Below are 17,426 nucleotides of genomic sequence, written 5' to 3'. Positions count from 1 at the left end.
AGTCTGAGACCAGCCTCACCAACACGCTGAAACCCTGTCTCTACTAAAAATACAAAAATTAGCTGGACGTGGTTGCGCATGCCTGTAATCCCAGCTACTTGGGAGGCTGGGGCAGGAGAATCGCTTGAACCCGGGAGGCGGAGGTTGCAGTGAGCTGAGATTGCACCATTGCACTCCAGCCTGGATGACAGAGCAAAACTCTGCCAAAAAAAAAAAAAAAAAAAAAGAAAAAGAAAAAGAAAAAGAATCTTACATCATACATTAAGTAGTATAAATTAAAGATAGAAAGGTAGACTGTGATAAGTTGAAGATGCACATTATAAGTTCTAAAGTTCTAAAACTAAAAAACAAAGTTATAGTGAATAGGCCAATAAAGAAGATAAACTGAAATAATAAAAAATCAATTAATTTAAAAGAAGGCAACAGGCCAGGCACAGTGGCTCATGCCTGTAATCCCAGCATTTTGGGAGGCCAAGGCAGGTGGATCACGAGGTCAGGAGTTCAAGACCAGCCTGGCCAACATGGTGAAACCCTGTTTCTACTAAAAATACAAAAATTAGCCAGGCGTGGTGGTGGGCACCTGTAATCCCAGCTACTTGGGAGGCTGAGGGAAGAGAATTGCTTGAATCCGGAAGGCAGAGGTTGCAGTGAGCCAAGATTGTGCCACTGCAGTCCAGCCTGGGCAACAAGAGCAAAACTCCATCTCAAATAAATAAATAAGTAAATAAATAAATAAGAAGGCAACAAAGAGGGGAAAGGGGAACCAAAAAAAGATGGAATAAACAGAAAACAACAGCAAGTTGGTAGCTTTAAACCTCAACATATTAGTAATCACAGTAAATGTAAATGATCTAAGTATCTCAATTTAAAAACAGAGATTATCAGATTGGATAAAAACCAACATTTGCCTATAACAAATGTACTTTTAATGTAAAGACACAAATAGGTTAAAAGTAAATGGATAAAAAATATATGTCATGCTAACAATAATAAAAAGAAAGCTGGCATATATGTATTAACAACAGACAAAGTAGATTTCAGAGTAAAACATATGTTACCAATGATAAAAAAGGGTCAATTTGTAATAATAAAGGGGTTAACTGTATCCCTTATTCAAAATGCTTGGGACTAGAAGTGTTTCAGATTTTGAATTTTTTGGATTGATGAATAAATATGTATATATTTGGAAGTAGTCCCAAGTCTAAACACAAAATTCATTTATGTTTCAAATCTACCTAATACATATAGCCTGAGGGTAATTTTATATAATATTTTAAATAATTTTCTACCTGAAACAAGGTTTGTATACATTGAACCATTTTATTAACTTTCATGGATGTCCTTGCATGGGAGTACAGAAAGGGGACTGGGAGCATCTACTTTCCCTTATGGATGATGAATAAACTATGTGTTGTGTGCTTGTGTTTTGACTGTGACCCATCACACAAGGTCAGGTGTGTAACTTTCCAGTCATGTCAACACGGAAAATGTTTTGGATTTGGAGCATTTTGGATTTCAGATTTTTTTATTAGGGATGCTCAACTGTAATTCTAAAGTTTTATGCATTTAATAACAGAGCTTTAGAGTACATAAAGTAAAAACCAATAGAATTGCAAGGAGAAATAGACAAATCCACAATTATGGTCAGAAATTTCAATATGCCATCATAATAACTGATAGAACAAGTAAGTAAACAGAATATCAGTAAGGATGTACAGAAAACTTGAACAAGACTACCAACCAACTTGGCCTAAGTGACATTTATAGAACACTTTACCCATTACAGCAAAATACACATCCTTTGCAAGTGCACACCGAACATTTATCAAGATAGATCATAATCTGGGACATAAAAAAGTTTCAATAATTTTGAAAGGACTAAAATAATGCAGAATGTGTTCTTTAGCCATAGTGGTATTAAATTAGAAACCAATAGGAAGACATCTGGAAAATCCCCCATATATTTTGGAAACTAAATAATATACATCTAATATCCATGGCTCAAACATGATATCAAAAGAGGTATTAGAAAGTATTTTCAACTAAATGAAAATTAAGGCACAAATATCAACATTTGTGGAATGCAGCTAAAACAATACTTAGAGGAAAATGCATCACACTAATGACTGTATCAGAAAAAATAAGAAAGGTCTCAAGTCAACGATCTCAGTTTCCATCATAAGAAACTAGAAAAAGAAAAGCAAATAAAATAAAAAGTAAGCAGAACAAAGGAAATAATAAAGATCAGAGGAGAAATCAATGAAATAAAAAGCAGTAAAATAATGGAGAAAATCAATGGAACCAAAAACTGATAGATCTCTAGCCAGAATGACAGCAAAAAAAGAGAGAAGGCACAACCTACCAATACCAGAAATGAGGGGTTGAGGGGATCATCACAGGAGGTTGGATAGATATCAAACGTAAGAAAATATATGAACAACTTTACTCCAGTAAATTTCAAAACAGATGAAATTAATAAATGAGCTGGGCGCAGTGGCTCACGCTTGTAATCCCAGCACTTTGGGAGGCCAAGGTGGGTGGATCACTTGAGGTCAGGAGTTCAAGACCAGCCAGACCAACACGGTGAAACTCCGTCTCTACTAAAAATACAAAGAATTAGCTAGGCATGGTGGTGCGTGCCGTGCCTGTAGTCCCAGCTACTTGGGAGGCTGAGGTGGGAGGTTCGCTTGAGCCTGGGAGGTGGAGATTGCAGTGAGCAGACATCATGCCACTGCACTCCAGTCTGGGTGACAGAGTGAGACCATGTCTCAAAAAAAAAAAAAAAAAATTCCACAGATTGTGGCTTCAACGAAATTAATAAACTGTCTGAAAGACACACACTGCCAATGCTGACTCAGAAACAGGTCATCTGAATAGCCCTATATCTATAAAATAAATTAAATTTATAGTTAAAAAACCTTCTCACCAAAAAACTCTAGGCCCAGACGACTTCATTGGAGAATTCCACTAAATATTTAAATACCAATAAATACCAAGTCTGTATACTCTCCAATTGATTCTATGAGGACACCATTACCGTAATACCAAAACCAGACAAAGACAGTACAAGAAAACTACAAATCGATATCCCTCACGGACATAGATGCAAGAATTCTAAAGTTATATTGCATCACATACATACTTAGTGTACATAATGTCTATGGATGCTTTGGTGCTATAATGGCAGAGTTGGGTAGTTGTAACAAAGAGTGTGTGGCTAACTTTACTATCTGGCCCTTTCCAGAAAAAGTTCGTTAACTTTTTACTAAAGTTATATATTGAAAGAGATAGAGAAATGGCCACCTTAAACTGGTATTTTATCTGAAACCAAACTGCAGGTAAATAATAATATCTTCATCCTTCTCTTGTTACTTTAAGCTCCCTCACTGCCTGTATCCATCTCCTTCCCCTCCCCCAACAGTCTTTCCTCAGAGAGCTAACTTAGCAGAAAGCTTAAATCATTCAACCAGCAAGCACCAAAAGCAAATTCATAATGAGCATCAAAAGCCTTAATAGCAGGTCAGGCACTGTGGCTCGCACCTGTAATCCCAGCACTTTGGGAGGCCGAGGCAGGCAGATCCCATGAGGTCAGAAGTTTGAGACCAGCCTGGCCATCATGGTGAAACCCCGTCTCTACTAAAAATACAAAAAAAAAAAAAAAATTAGCCGGGTATGGTGACATGTGCCTGTAGTCCTAGCTTCTCGGGAGGCTGAGGCAGGAGAATCTCTTGAACCCAGGAGGAAGAGGTTGCAGTGAGCCAAGATCACACCACCGCACTCCAGCCTGGGTGACAGAGTGAGGCCCTGTCTCCAAAAAAAAAAAAAAAAAAAGCCTTAACAACCTTCTTATCTTTAGATGCAGTAATTAACTCATAATCAAGTCCATGGATATAATTAAAAATTCATGAAAGTTTCATGCACAAGTTCATTCACAACAATGTTACATATGCTACAAAATTGGAAATATACTATATCTCTAACAATAGAAGAATTACTTGCTTAATAAATTATCTACTCTTCCTAAAAAAAAGTTTAGAAAGATTTTTAAGCACAAAAAGCACTATATAAATTATATTTATTATCTCAAAATCTTTAAGCAGGCTATATATGTAAATACACACATAGTAAAAAAAAAGACGAAGAAAATATGACAAAATAGTTTCTCTGAATTGTAAGCCTACAGTAGATTTTTGTTGCCTTTTAAAATATATTCTTATTATACAGTACAGAATTAAGTAAAATAAAGATATAAGGGAAAAGTCTAAAATAATATGAAGCAAATGTGATGCACACACACCGCAAATGGTATTCCAAATGGTTTTAGGTAGCACTTGAGTGAATTTAGAGGGAATGAGTGGTATTGAGTTTTATTAGACACATGTCATTTAAATACAAATACTGAATAAATAATTTAATGGTACACAAATATGGCAGCTTATGAAGATAATATACTGATGGCTCAAGTCTGGGGAACACATTTTAAAGGAGAGAAGATCAAGGATTTTACCAGAAAGAAACCACATATAAACACACACACACTAAAGATTCCTTTTGCTTTTTTTTTTTAAAGGGCAAAAGATACATATGTGCATAATTTTATTTATTTTTTTCTGGAAGAAATCATAGGAAAATTTAGGATACTTTTAGGAAGAGAGAGTAGGGAAAGGGAAAATTCAGCTTTTTTCTCCTCCTTGATCCCTCCGAAGTAAATATAATCTCTTCTTTATTCCACTCCAAAGGCTTCTTGGTTATTACTTTAATCTACCTTGTATATCCCCCGTAATAGATGATAAACTCCTTAAAAACAGTAATTGTGTCTTGCTTGCCTTTGCCCCCGTGCTATAATTTGGATATGTTTGTTTGCCTCCACCAAAGCTCATGATGAAATTTGATTCCCAGGCCAGGCGCGGTGGCTCATGCCTGTAATCCCAGCACTTTGGGAGGCCGAGGCAGGCAGATCACCTGAGGTCAAGAGTTCAAGACCAGCCTGGCCAACATGATGAAACCCCGTCTCTATTAAAAATACAAAAATTAGTTGGGCATGGTGGTGGGCGCCTGTAATCCCAGCTACTCAGGAGGTTGAGGCAGGAGAATCGCTTGAACCCGGAGGTGGAGGTTGCAGTGAGCCAAGATGGCGCCACTGCACTCCAGCCTGGGCAACAGAAGAAGACTCCATCTCAATAAAAAAAGAAAAAGAAATTTGATTTCCAGTATGGTGGTGTTGGGAGTTGAGGCCTAATGGGAGGTGTTGGGTCATGGGGACGGATCCTTCATGAATGGCTTGGTGCCATTCTCGGTAGTGAGTGAGTTCTCACTCTCTTGAGACTGGATTAGTTTTAACAGGAATGTGCCCATGAGAATGGGTTGTTATGAAACCAGGATGCCCCTTGGTTTTCCCTCTTTGCACATGCCTGCTTTCCCTTTGACTTTCTTCTTCATGTTATGAGGTAGCATGAAAAGCCCTCACCAGAAGCCGAGCAGATGCCAGCGCTATGCTTCTTATACTTCTCTGTTTATAGAACCATGAGCTAAATAAACCTCTTCTCTTTGTAAATTACCCAGCTTCAGGTATTCTGTTGTAGCAAAATATTTGCTGAATTAAATTTAATAGTAACATGCCACCAAACATAATGATAAAATGTCACCAAACATGCAAAGATCATTTCTATATTTTCTAGAAAGAAGATTAATCATGTACAACTGGCGTTCTTGTGTTCAAAAAAATGAAGTGATCTTCATTAAGAAATTTGAAAATATTATTTAATTCATCTTCTTGAATAAACTTTTACAAGTAAATAAATACACCAATGATTGTAGCCTGTAAATATCATTCTGAAGCAAATATCCACCTCAACATTAGATTAAAAAGCATGTCTGGCCAGGCGTGATGGCTCATGCATGTAATCCCAGCACTTTGAAAGGCCCAGGTGGGTGGCTCACTTGAGGTCAGAAGTTTGAGACCAGCCTGGCCAACATGGCAAGACTCTGTCTCTACTAAAAATACAAAAAGTAGCCAGACATGGTGGCTCACACCTGTAATCCCAGCTACTGGGGAGGCTGAGGCAAGAGAATTACTTGAACCCAGGAGGTGGAGGTTGCAGTAAGCCGAGATCAGGCCACTGCACTCCAGCCTGAGTAACAGAGCAAGACTCTGTCTCCAAAAAAATAAAAAGTAGTTCAGTTTCAAACATGCTGGCCAGGTACAGTGGCTCACATCTGTAATCCCAGCACTTTGGAAGGCTAAGGCAGAAGGACTGCTTAAGCCCAGGAGTTCGAGACCAGCCTGGGCAACATAGCAAGACATCATCTCAATTTTTTAAAAAATGATACAAACTTGTTGAGTTGGAGATTCCTGTAGCACCTTCCCACAGGGGAAGACAATACTTCTGAGATAAGGAGGGGTTTAGGCTGGGAACAGGAGTTGGAGGTCACCACCACAAGAATGGAAGCAAAATTCCTATGAGAGGACAACTCCACATTTGGGAAGAGTTTAGAGCAGGAAGAGAAAGAAGCCAGGGACAGGACATTGGGCAACAATGGCAAAGAAAGAGAAACCCACAAAGGATATTGAGAGGGCAAGGTGAAGAAGATGGGAGAGAAGCCAGGACGGAGAGTATCACTGAAGCCAAGGTGAGGGGAACTTAGAGAAGGGAGTGGCCAGTCCTCGGCAGGAGTCGCAACAGGTGATTTCAGATATCTCTTGAACTTCTACAGTGTCTTTAATTCTAAAATTGGAGCCCCTAACTTGAAAAAATAATGGCTTCTGTAGAATTCTTCAAAGATATCTTGAAGAGATGTCTTCCTAATTCTGGAAGTATCCTTGTATAACACCTTCACTTTATTTTTTTTAATCCTCATAAACCAAAGCATTATAAGATATTACAAGTCTGCAATAGTTAAGTATCAGATTTTGCTCTGGAAAAGCTTACCTGTAGCATCAGGTTGGAAACAGATATAGAATCCCTAATTCTCAATGAATTTTGACTGCACGTTGAACAATTTGTGGCTTTTAGATAAAAGCTCTATGTCCATTTTCCCTAAGAACTCCTGATAAAGGCCAGGTGTGGTGGCTCATGCCTGTAATCCCAGCACTTTGGGAGGCCAAGGCAGGCAGGTCACAATGTCAGGAGCTCGAGACCAGTCTGGCCAACATAGTGAAACCCTGTCTCTACTAAAAATACAAAAAATTAGCTGGGTGTGGTGGTGTGTGACTGTAATCCCAGCTACTCGGGAGGCTGAGGCAGGAGAATCGCATGAACCTGGGAGGCGGAGGTTGCAGTGAGCCAAGATCATGCCATTGCACTCCAGCCTAGGTGACAGTGTGAGACTCTGTCTCAAAAAGCAAAAAACAACAACAAAAAACCTCCTGATAAAGTAACATGATAACACACAGACACTAACCTGTTAGGTACATAGTGGCAGGAAACTTCCTTGGGCTGGGCAAGGTTCTCAAGTCTTTTGGTCAGCTGAGCCTTCAAAGCACCCTGGGAAACAGGGCGAATAGGATCTTGATTTCCCCAAAACAGTTTTCTGTTAAGAAGCATACAGATAAAATGGTAAAAAAAAATTGATTGCTAGTGAAAATATAAAAAATGACTCTTTTTTTTTTTTTTTTTTTGAGACAGTCTTGCTCTGTTGCCCAGGCTGGAGTGGAGCGCAGTGGCTCGATCTCGGCTCACTGCAACCTCTGCCTCCCGGATTCAAGTGCTTCTCCTGCCTCAGCCACCCGAGTAGCTGGGATTACAGGCACGCACCACCACAGGAGTTCGAGACTAGCTTGGCCAACATGGTGAAACCTCGTCTCTACTAAAACTACAAAAATTAGCCAGGCGTGGTGGCACATGCCTATAATCCCAGCTACTTGGGAGGCTGAAGCAGCAGAATCCCTTGAACCCAGGAGGTGGAGGCTGCAGTGAGCCAATATCACACCACTCCACTCCAGCCTGGGCAACAGTGTGAGACCCCATCTCAAAAAAAAGAAAGAAGTAGTGGGTAGAGGTGAGAAAACCATGTAATAGAAGTCAAAGAGGGGAAGAGTTTGAGATAAGGATGCATAAAATATATCAAACCAAATATATTTTGATAAGCCATAAAATATATCAAAAAGCATCAAATATAACTTAGACATCATAAAAGGATGAAAAAAATCAAACGACAATAGGATTTGGCCAGGCCATTATCAGTGGTAATAACAGAGTGAAAAACATGTCTTTGGATAGGGGTAAATATAACAGCTCAGATGGAGAGAGGTTAGGAGGGTCAGGGATTAGGAAGCTGAGGTAATGTGTGTATATATATACTGGGTTTGCATCCAGTTTCAAATTCAAAGCAAAGGTTACCTTAGACACAACCATGAAATCAAGTGCATAAAATATGGTCCAAATGATGCCGTCCAAGAACTGAACCCTCATGAGATTATTAGCTGCTTAAAAATTTTGGCCACAAGTAAATATATAAACTTACTATGTACCCACAATATTTTTTTAATAAAATAAAACAAATTTTGGCCACAAGAACTAGAAAACACAGAGTATGAACAAAAGTCACTGAGGATAATGTACAAAGCAGGATATTTGGCTTAAAGTAAGTTAGAAGGAAAAGACCAGTGGGGTGAGAAACAGCAGAGACTCTACAGTCAAGAAAAATTTGGTGGCTGGACGTGGTGGCTCATGCCTGTAATCCCAACAACAGTTTGGGAGGCCAAGGCAGGTGGATCACCTGCGATCAGGAGTTCCAGACCAGCCTGGCCAACATGGTGAAACCCTGTCTCTACAAAAGTACAAAAATTAGCCGGGCATGATGGTGGATGCCTGTAATCCCAGCTACTTGGGAGGCTGAGGTGGAAGAATCACTTGGAACTGGGAGGTGGAGATTGCAGTCAGCCAAGAACGTACTACTGCACTCCAGCCTGGGCGACAAAAGGAAACTCCATCTCAAAAAGAAAAAAAAAAGAAAAATTTGGAGGTAAACTTCATCAGGAAGTGGGGAGGCTAACCAACAGGCTAAAGTAGCATATTATAAACAGATAATGTACCACTTTACTGACAGCATTTTAAAAATTACCTGTTTAGCAGTTACATGGCTAGTAATATCAAGAAAATAAAAATGTAATCTTCTATGGTCCATATCCAGGACTTGACCCCAGAGGATAGGATCTTTATCCATACCACACCTGTCTGATGGATCCATGAAATAGAACCAAGTCTGACACCATCACAATTACCCACAGAATTCTAGAATAATGGAACTAGAAGGATTCTTGGGGGTTCAGTGTTCAATCACCCCATTCTGCACAGCTAAAACTCTAGTCTGTTTCAGATTTCCAGATTTAGAAAACACAAAACAGCTCTCATTTCCATTTCCAGAGTTTTGTTGTTCTGAAATTCGTATAATCTCTCCCATCATAACATTTATTTAGCTTTCATCTCTTTAAAATGCTTTATGTACTTTTTGAATTTAGAAATCAGCCTTCAAACTTTCTTTGCCAGTCTAATCTGGCCAACCACAAATTCTTTGAATGTTTCCTCATAGGATCCATCTTTCTTTTAATAATTTTCTTCGCTGGCCTTTGAGACTCTCTCTTTCCTGGTTCTCTTCTAGCAGCTCTCTCTGTTTGTTTTTTGTTTGTTTGTTTCTTTTCTTTTCTTTTCTTTTTTTTTTTTTTGAGACAGAGTCTCCCTCTGTCACCTCTGTCACCTGGGCTGGTGTGCAGTGGCATGATCTCAGCTCACTGCAACCTCAGCCTCCCAGGCTTAAGCAATTCTCCTGCCTCAGCCTCCCGAATAGCTGGGACTACAGGCACGTGCCACCATGCCTGGCTAATTTTTGTATTTTTATTAGAGACGGGGTTTCACTACGTTGGCCAGGCTGGTCTCAAACTCCTGACGTCAAGTGATCTACCCGCCTTGGCCTCTCAAAGTGCTGGAATTACAGGCGTGAGCCACCACACCCGGCCTCTCTCTGTTTAGCATTTCTTTCACAACTCAAACAATAGCACGTGCTCCAGGCTTCCAATATCTTCAATATTATTATTATTTTTATTATTTAGAGATGGAGTCTCTCTCAGTCGCCCAGGCTGGATTGCAGTGGCACAATCTCGGCTCACTGCAACTGCCACCTCCCAGGTTCAAGCAATTCTCCTGCCACAACCTATCTCAAGTAGCTGGAATTACAGGTGCGTGCCACCACGCCTGGCTAATTTTTTGTATTTTTAGTAGAGATGGGGTTTCGCCATGTTGGCCAGGCTGTCTCGAACTCTTGACCTCAAGTGATCCACCCATTCCAGCCTCCCAAAGTCTTGAGATTACAGGCATGAGCCACTGTGCCCATCCTCAATGTTATTTGATTATTACTAAATACTGGCAAATCCCAAATGAGTCTGTCCAGTTATTCTCAAGTAGTCTCCTGACTGCCAAATCCATATTTCCAGATACTTACTGAATGTCTCAAAATCATCTGCATGACCTAATGTATCTTCCTCCCAAACCTATCCCCCTCTTGTATTTTCTTTCGCAGTCATAATAGCATTTTCTACCTTATTTCTAAAGACAGAAAACTAGAAATCATATTTTACTCCTTCCTCAGACTTCTATAATTCATTTGTCACTAGGTCCTGTCCATCTATGTTTTGACTCTAACCTTTGTCTCAACCCTTAAGGCCAATGTGTTAGGATAGGCTATCACTATTTCTCTCCTGCATTATTTTAATAGCCCCAAATTATCTTCTTGCCTCTGGTTTTCCATGCCATCAAAGGAATTGTGCCTTTCTAAAATAGACAGGGTGATATAATGGAAAGAAGCAGGCTTTGTGGGCAATGGATGTAGATTCAAATCCAAGTTGAATTGGGTAAGTTACTTAACTTTTCTAAACTTTACTCCCTAATCAAATAATGTCTCCAATTTTTCTATTGTTTTCAAATAGGGTGGGTTGAGTGTTCCAAGATTTTGACAGTTCTAATAATATTCATTAACATCTCTCTTATCAGTGTATACCTCTACTCAATAAATATGTGTGTGTTCCTATCCATGAATAAGAGACAATTTAATGCATACTATATTTTCAGTTTTAAGCCTCTTAAAACTTAGTCTTTAGAGCATAGCAAAGTTGCAAGATACAGCATTAATATACAAAAGTCCACTGATTTTTGTATGCCAACAAAGAACAATCGGAATTTGAAATAAAAAACACAATGCTATTTACATTAGCATTGCAAAAAATTAAATACATAAGCATAATTCCAAAAAAATACATAAAAGATCTATATGAGGAAAACTACAAAACTCTAATGAAATAATCAAAAAAGAGCTATATAAGTGGAGAGGTATTCAATATTCATGGATAGGAAGACTCAATATTAAGATATCAATTATTCCTGGCTTGGTTTATATATTCAATGCAATCCCAGTAAAAATCCTAGCAAGTTACTTCATGGATATTGACAAACTGATTCTATAGTTTATATAGAAAGACAAAAGACCCAGAATAGTCAACATAATATTCAAGAACAAAGTCAGAGGACTAACACTACCTTACTTCAAGACTTACAAAGCTACAGTAATCAAGGCAGTGTGGTACTGGTGAAAGAAGAGACAGATGAGTGGGATAAAATACAGATCCTATAAGTAGATCCACACAAATATAGCCAAAGTATTGAAGGCAATCCAATCAAGAAATGATAGTCCTGGCCAGGCACGGTGGCTCATGCCTGTAATCCCAGCCCTTTGGGAGGCTGAGGTAGGCAGATCACCTGAGGTCAGGAGTTCGAGACCAGCCTAACCAACATGGAGAAACCCCATCTCTACTAAAAATACAAAATTAGCCAGGCGTGGTGGTGCCTGCCTGTAATCCCTGCTACTTGGGAGGCTGAGGCAGGAGAATCACTTGAACCTGGGAGGTTGCAGTCACAGTGAGCCGAGATTGCACCATTGCACTCCAGCCTGAGCAACAAGAGTGAAATTCCATCTCAAAAAAAAAAAAAAAAAAAGAAATGATAGTCTTTTCAACAAATGGTACTGGAACAACTGGACATCTACATGCAAAAATAAATAATCTAGACACAGACTTTGCACCTTTCATAAACATTAACTCAAAATGTGTCTAGATGTAAATATAAAACACAAAAATATAAAACTTTCAGGAGTTTCATAGAAAAACACACAGGAGGAAATCCAGGTGACTTTGGGTTTAGCAATGAGTTTTTAGAAACAACACCAAAAGCATGATTCACAAAAGAAAAAATCAGTAAATTGAACTTCATAAAAATTAAAATTTCTATTTTGTGAAACACACTGCTAAGAGAATGAAAAGCTAAACCATAGACTGGGAGACAATATTTGCAAAACAAGTATCTGATAAAGGACTGGCATCCAAAACATACAAAGAACACTTAAAACTCAACAATAACAAATAGCCCAACTAAAAAGTGGGCAGAAGAACTGAACAAACACCTTACCAAAGAAGATATACAAATAAGCAAATATGCTCAACATCAGTTCATTAGAGAATTGCAAATTAAAACAATGAGATACCACTACACACCTATTAGAATGGCTAAAATCCAAACACTGACACCACCAAATGCTGACAAAGATGGAGAGCAACAGGAACTCTCCTTCATTGCTTGTTAAAATGCAAAATGGTACAGTCATCTTAGAAGAGCTTAGTAGTTTCTTACAAAGTTAAATATACTCTTACCATATTATCCAGCAATTTACCCAAATTAGCTAAAAACTTAAATATACCAAAAAAACCTGCACGTGAATGTTTATAGCAGCTTTATTCATAATTGACAAATATTGGAAGCAACCATGATGCCCTTAAATAGGTAAATGGATAATCTATGATACATCTATACAACTAAATAGTACCCACATCAATAGAATATAATCTTAAAAAGAAATGAGCTATCAAGACAAAAAAAAAAACATAAAGGAAGCTTAAATGCATATTACTAAGTAAAAGAAGCCAATCTGAGAGATTACGTACTGTACAGTTCCAACTAGATGACTTTCTAGAAAAGACAAAACTATAGAGACAGTAAATAGATCAGTAGTGGCCAAGGGTTTGGAGAGGGAGGAAAGAGGAAAAGAAATGAATAGTTGGAACACAGGTAATTTTTAGGGCGATGAAACTGTCCTGTATGATACTATAATGGTGGATACATTATGCATTTGTCAAACCCATAAAGCTGCACAACACAAAAAGTGAACCTTAATGTAAACCATAGGCTTTAATCAGTAAAAATATATCAATATTGGCTCATCAATTTTAACAATTGTACCACAATAATGCAAGATGTTAGTAGTAGGAAAAACTAAGGGGAGGGGTGGTAAATATGGAAACTCTACTTTCTGCTCAATTTTTCTGTAAACCCAAAACTGCTCTAAAAATTAAAGTATATTAATTTTGTTTAAAAAAAAAAAAGCAATAGGACAGGCATGGTGGCTCACGTCTGTAATCCCAACACTTTGGGAGGCCAAGATGGGAGGATCACTTAAGCACAGGAGTTTGAGGCCAGCCTGGGAAACATAGGGAAACCCCCGTCTCCACAAAAAAATTTAAAAATTAGCTGGGCACAGTGGTACACACATGTGGTCCCAGATACTCAGGAGGCTGAGGTGGGGGAATCACTTGAGCCTGGGAGGTCAAGGCTGCAGTAAGCCATGATTGCACCACAGCACTCCAGCCTGAGAAACAGAGTGAAACCCTGCCTCAAAAAAAAAAAAAAAAAAAAAAAAAAAAGCAATAGGAGATCCAAAAAATATTCAAGCTTGACTCAGGAGCCAAAGAAGAAAAAGAGGAGTCCCTTGGCCAAGCGTGAAAGGACTAAGGGTCCAGCTTGCTGGAGACCCAGAGGACAGGTGTGTTCTAATAAGAGGCTTAGAGGTATCAGGATTAGTGATAGGAGCCTTAGAGATACAGGCAGCAAAGCTGGACTTGGAGAATGCACAAAAAGTTTCAAAAGAGTGTGCAGTCACACCCCTGAGCAGTGGTTCTCAAGTCTGTCCGCCTATAGAATCATCTGGGGAGCTTTTAACTCCCCAAGTCTATGGCACACCCCATATCAACTAAATCAGGATTTTTGGGGAAAGCACTCAGTCATTATTAAAGTTCCCCAGGTGATTCCAATGTACAGCCAAATTTAAGAACCACTGACCAAGGGTTAGCCTTTTACATGCTGACTACAATGAGGTGACAATATTGGTTCAGAGGATCTAGTTAAGTAGAGGTGGATGGATAAATAATACTTACCTGTTTTATGTAATGAACACAATCATCACAAACAGGACCATACAATATTGCCTTACCTGTCTGGAGTTCCCCATTGCTTTTTAGGCTTTGAAAGATTTGGGGTTCTCTTCCTAGAAGAAAAACTAACAAATAGCAGCTGATTAATTCAAAGAGAATGCTTAAGAAATGTGGTTACATTAGATGACTCCTGCTCATAGGAGGGGGGAAAAAAAAGAACTAAAACCAATGCTGTATTTGATGTGATTTGAAGAGTGCTGAAAGGCTCAAAGTATCCAAACATTCTTTGTACCCAACATTCTCACTTCTAGAATTACTAATATAGCACATAATAAAATGAACACAATAAATTATGCAACCAAAGAACATATTGTCTCCAGAAGACCTGAGGTAAAATGCACACTTGTTAACAGGAAAAACCTCAATCAGTCTATTAAGGTCATTTGTAGATGGCTTGGTGGCACTGGATTCTGAAGAGATTGTACAGACAAATTTCAGACAGAATATCTGGCTTTGGAAAAACTATGAAATAGGCAAAATACACTTTTGGTACCACTCAATCCCCTCTGTGCCTCACTCTGCTCCCTTGAACCTTCCCTAATTTTTCTTAATCCACTTGCAGCAGAGAGAGTTTGTGCCCTCCAAGTGTCCATGTGTTGCCCTATGTTTCCCAGCCTCCTTTGCAGTTGTTTGGAGTGACATAACTGTCACGTCTAATTTCAGCAAGAGTACTGGGTACCACATAAGAGCTAGTGCGTCTCTTCCACTTTTCTCTTTCCTTGTTGCAGGGACCTAGAAGCCACATATCCTAGACAGCAGAGCTACAAGGTAGAGGAGGGCCAATCAATTCACACTAGACTCTGGCAGGAGGGAGAAATAAATAAACTTTTATTGTGTTAAGTCATTGAGAGTTCTGTGTCTTGTTTGTTAATGTAGCATTGTCTATCCTATGCAGACTAATACACCACCTATGTTGTGGTGACTCATATTACAACTGTGTATGGCCTTGGTTGGAGTCTGACGGGGCCAATACATGACAACTCTTTTGGTCTACCATCTTTAGAAACCAACTGAAAAATAGGCACAGGAGTCAGACAAATAGAATAAAAATACTATATGTTGTTGACAAAACCATATCGAAATGAGTAGTTTGAATCCCTGACACCCCCGAATTGAACTGACATCCCAAAGCTGCAGGCCTCCTCCTGTAGGGACTAAACTTGCTATGTGATAGAGAGTAGATCACAAAGATCCTTGTACAGATTGATGCACCATCTTACAGATCACTGTAGACAGGCAGGCCCCAAAGAAAAAGGGTCCCAGAAGGGACCAATTCTCTCTCCCAAACCTATCAAACAGATGTCACTCCTACCCCACAGAAAGTCTAATTAAAGAGTGAGGCAAGAGGCCAGGAGAATTACTCAAAGGAAATGCTTCAATGTATAATGAGGCAGGTGATAAGGAAAAGCATCCCCCTAACACTTGCCTGAGCTCTTTAATGGGCTCCAAACTCTTTTAGAATAAGCCCTAGCCCTGATGTCAGGTAGGATTCAGTCACTGACACAGCACATACAAGGCATGATGTGAAGAAATGGCCTTCCTAATTAAGTGGTGATTGATGCACCGTGGGAGGAGGCAGTAGGGGAGAGGGGACTCAATAGTCAGCAGCTACCAAGGTTGCACATTTGTATAACCTCTCAGCCTTTTTTTTTTTTCTGTTAGAGATAGAGTCTCACTATGTTCCCCACGCTGGAGTGCAATGGCATGATCACAGCTCCCTGCAGCCTCGAACTACTACCCAAACTCAGCCTCCTGAGTAGCTGGGACTACGGACACCATACCGGGCTAATTAGGCACAGCACATTTGCATAAAAACGAACTTTTTAAAGGATACAGGGATAGATAATGGAGATGGCACAATTTCCTTACATGATGACCCCGAATTAACAGATCAAAGAGAAACAAGAAGCAGTAAGAAATAACAATAACGAAAAACTTTTTTGAAACCACACTCGTCACAGCCTTTTTAAGTATAAAAATTTATGGGACACAAACTATCCAGTCACAGGAAAGCTTGCTCACTCAGCATACATTATTTATTTTAAGTACTGTGGTATTTTGAGTGGATACTTGGTAATATTCAGTAAATGTTAATTCTACCCGCTCTACTCCTCAGCCACCTGACAACCTTGGGAAAGTGACATAATTTTGCTGAATTTCATTTTCTCTCGGTAAAATCTAGTTGATATATCTGTCCTATCTACTTTTCAGAATTCTTGTGAGAAAACCTATTTTTTTTTAACTGAAAACCATTACACAAAAATAAGGTAGTAGTATTTGCTGCCTGAATAAGGAAGGGGGAAAAATCTAGAAGCATGGTAAATACAGCCAGGTGTGGTGGTTCACACCTATAATGCCAGCACTTCAGGAGGCTGAGTTAGAAGGATCACCTGAGGCCAGGAATTTGGGACCAGCCTGGGCAACGTAGTGAGATCTATCTCTACAATAAAATTTTAAAAATAAATATTAAAACATAAAATACAAAATAAGTCTGAATAATAACCATACATGTAAATGAGCTAAACAATAATAATAAATATGAATGGTTTTGACCCACTTCTTTAAAAAGTAGATGAAAATAAAATCTGGTATTATTTACTTTTCACCTACAGGAACCATTGATATGAACCCTTGGTATTTCTCCCTAATGATTTTATAGGATGAGTATCTTTTATCCAAAATGCTTGGTACTAGAACTATTTGGAATTTTTGATATTTTCAGATTTTGAAATATCTGTACATACATAATGAGGTATCTTGGGGATGAGACCCAAGTCTAAACACAACATTCATTTATGTTTTACATACATCTTACACACATAGCCTGAAGGTAATTTTATATAATATTTTAAATAATTTTGTGTGTGAAACAAAGTTTGTGGTAAGTTCTTATGTGTGATATTTTCCACTTGTGGTGTTATGCCCATGCTCAAAAAGTTTCAGATTTTGGAGCACTTGGGATTTTAGATTTTCAGATTAGGGATGCTCAACCTGTATTCTGTCTCCTCTTCTAACTCTATCTTAGCCAAACAAAGGGTAAGCATCGGTATTCAGGATGCATTTATTGTTGTGCATTATATGCACATGTACACATATACTTTTTTCTTTTCTTTTTTTC

The 17,426-nt window shown here is 38.8% G+C and overlaps 1 protein-coding gene across 7 annotated transcripts in view, besides 1 other annotated feature; it reads right to left on the bottom strand.

Moving 5' to 3' along the window:
• The window catches only part of SPMAP2L (sperm microtubule associated protein 2 like), a 95,609-nt gene that overhangs the window by 59,293 nt on the left and 18,890 nt on the right, over nt 1-17,426 (bottom strand). For all 7 annotated transcript variants that reach the window (XR_941041.2, XM_011534357.2, XM_011534361.3 and 4 more), the window contains exons 3-4: nt 14,308-14,373; nt 7,402-7,530 (exon numbers count right to left, since the gene is read on the bottom strand). Coding sequence is in view for 6 of the 7 variants with exons in the window: in XM_011534357.2 (XP_011532659.1) it covers nt 7,402-7,530; nt 14,308-14,373 (195 nt within the window). In the remaining variant the exon portion in view is untranslated. The remainder of the gene's footprint in view (nt 1-7,401; nt 7,531-14,307; nt 14,374-17,426) is intronic.
• Nucleotides 8,695-8,907: a silencer, noted in NCBI's record as "fragment chr4:57424181-57424393 (GRCh37/hg19 assembly coordinates)". NCBI's record gives its function as "represses an EF-1alpha promoter that drives an FKBP-Casp9 reporter gene in an ReSE screen in K562 erythroleukemia cells {active_cell/tissue: K562}" and the evidence as "EXISTENCE:reporter gene assay evidence [ECO:0000049][PMID:32094911]".

This window comes from Homo sapiens, chromosome 4 (assembly GCF_000001405.40).
Source record: "Homo sapiens chromosome 4, GRCh38.p14 Primary Assembly".
Lineage (NCBI taxonomy): Eukaryota > Metazoa > Chordata > Mammalia > Primates > Hominidae > Homo > Homo sapiens.
Note: the sequence above shows the minus strand (reverse complement) of the source record. Positions and strands in the feature narration are given on the sequence as shown.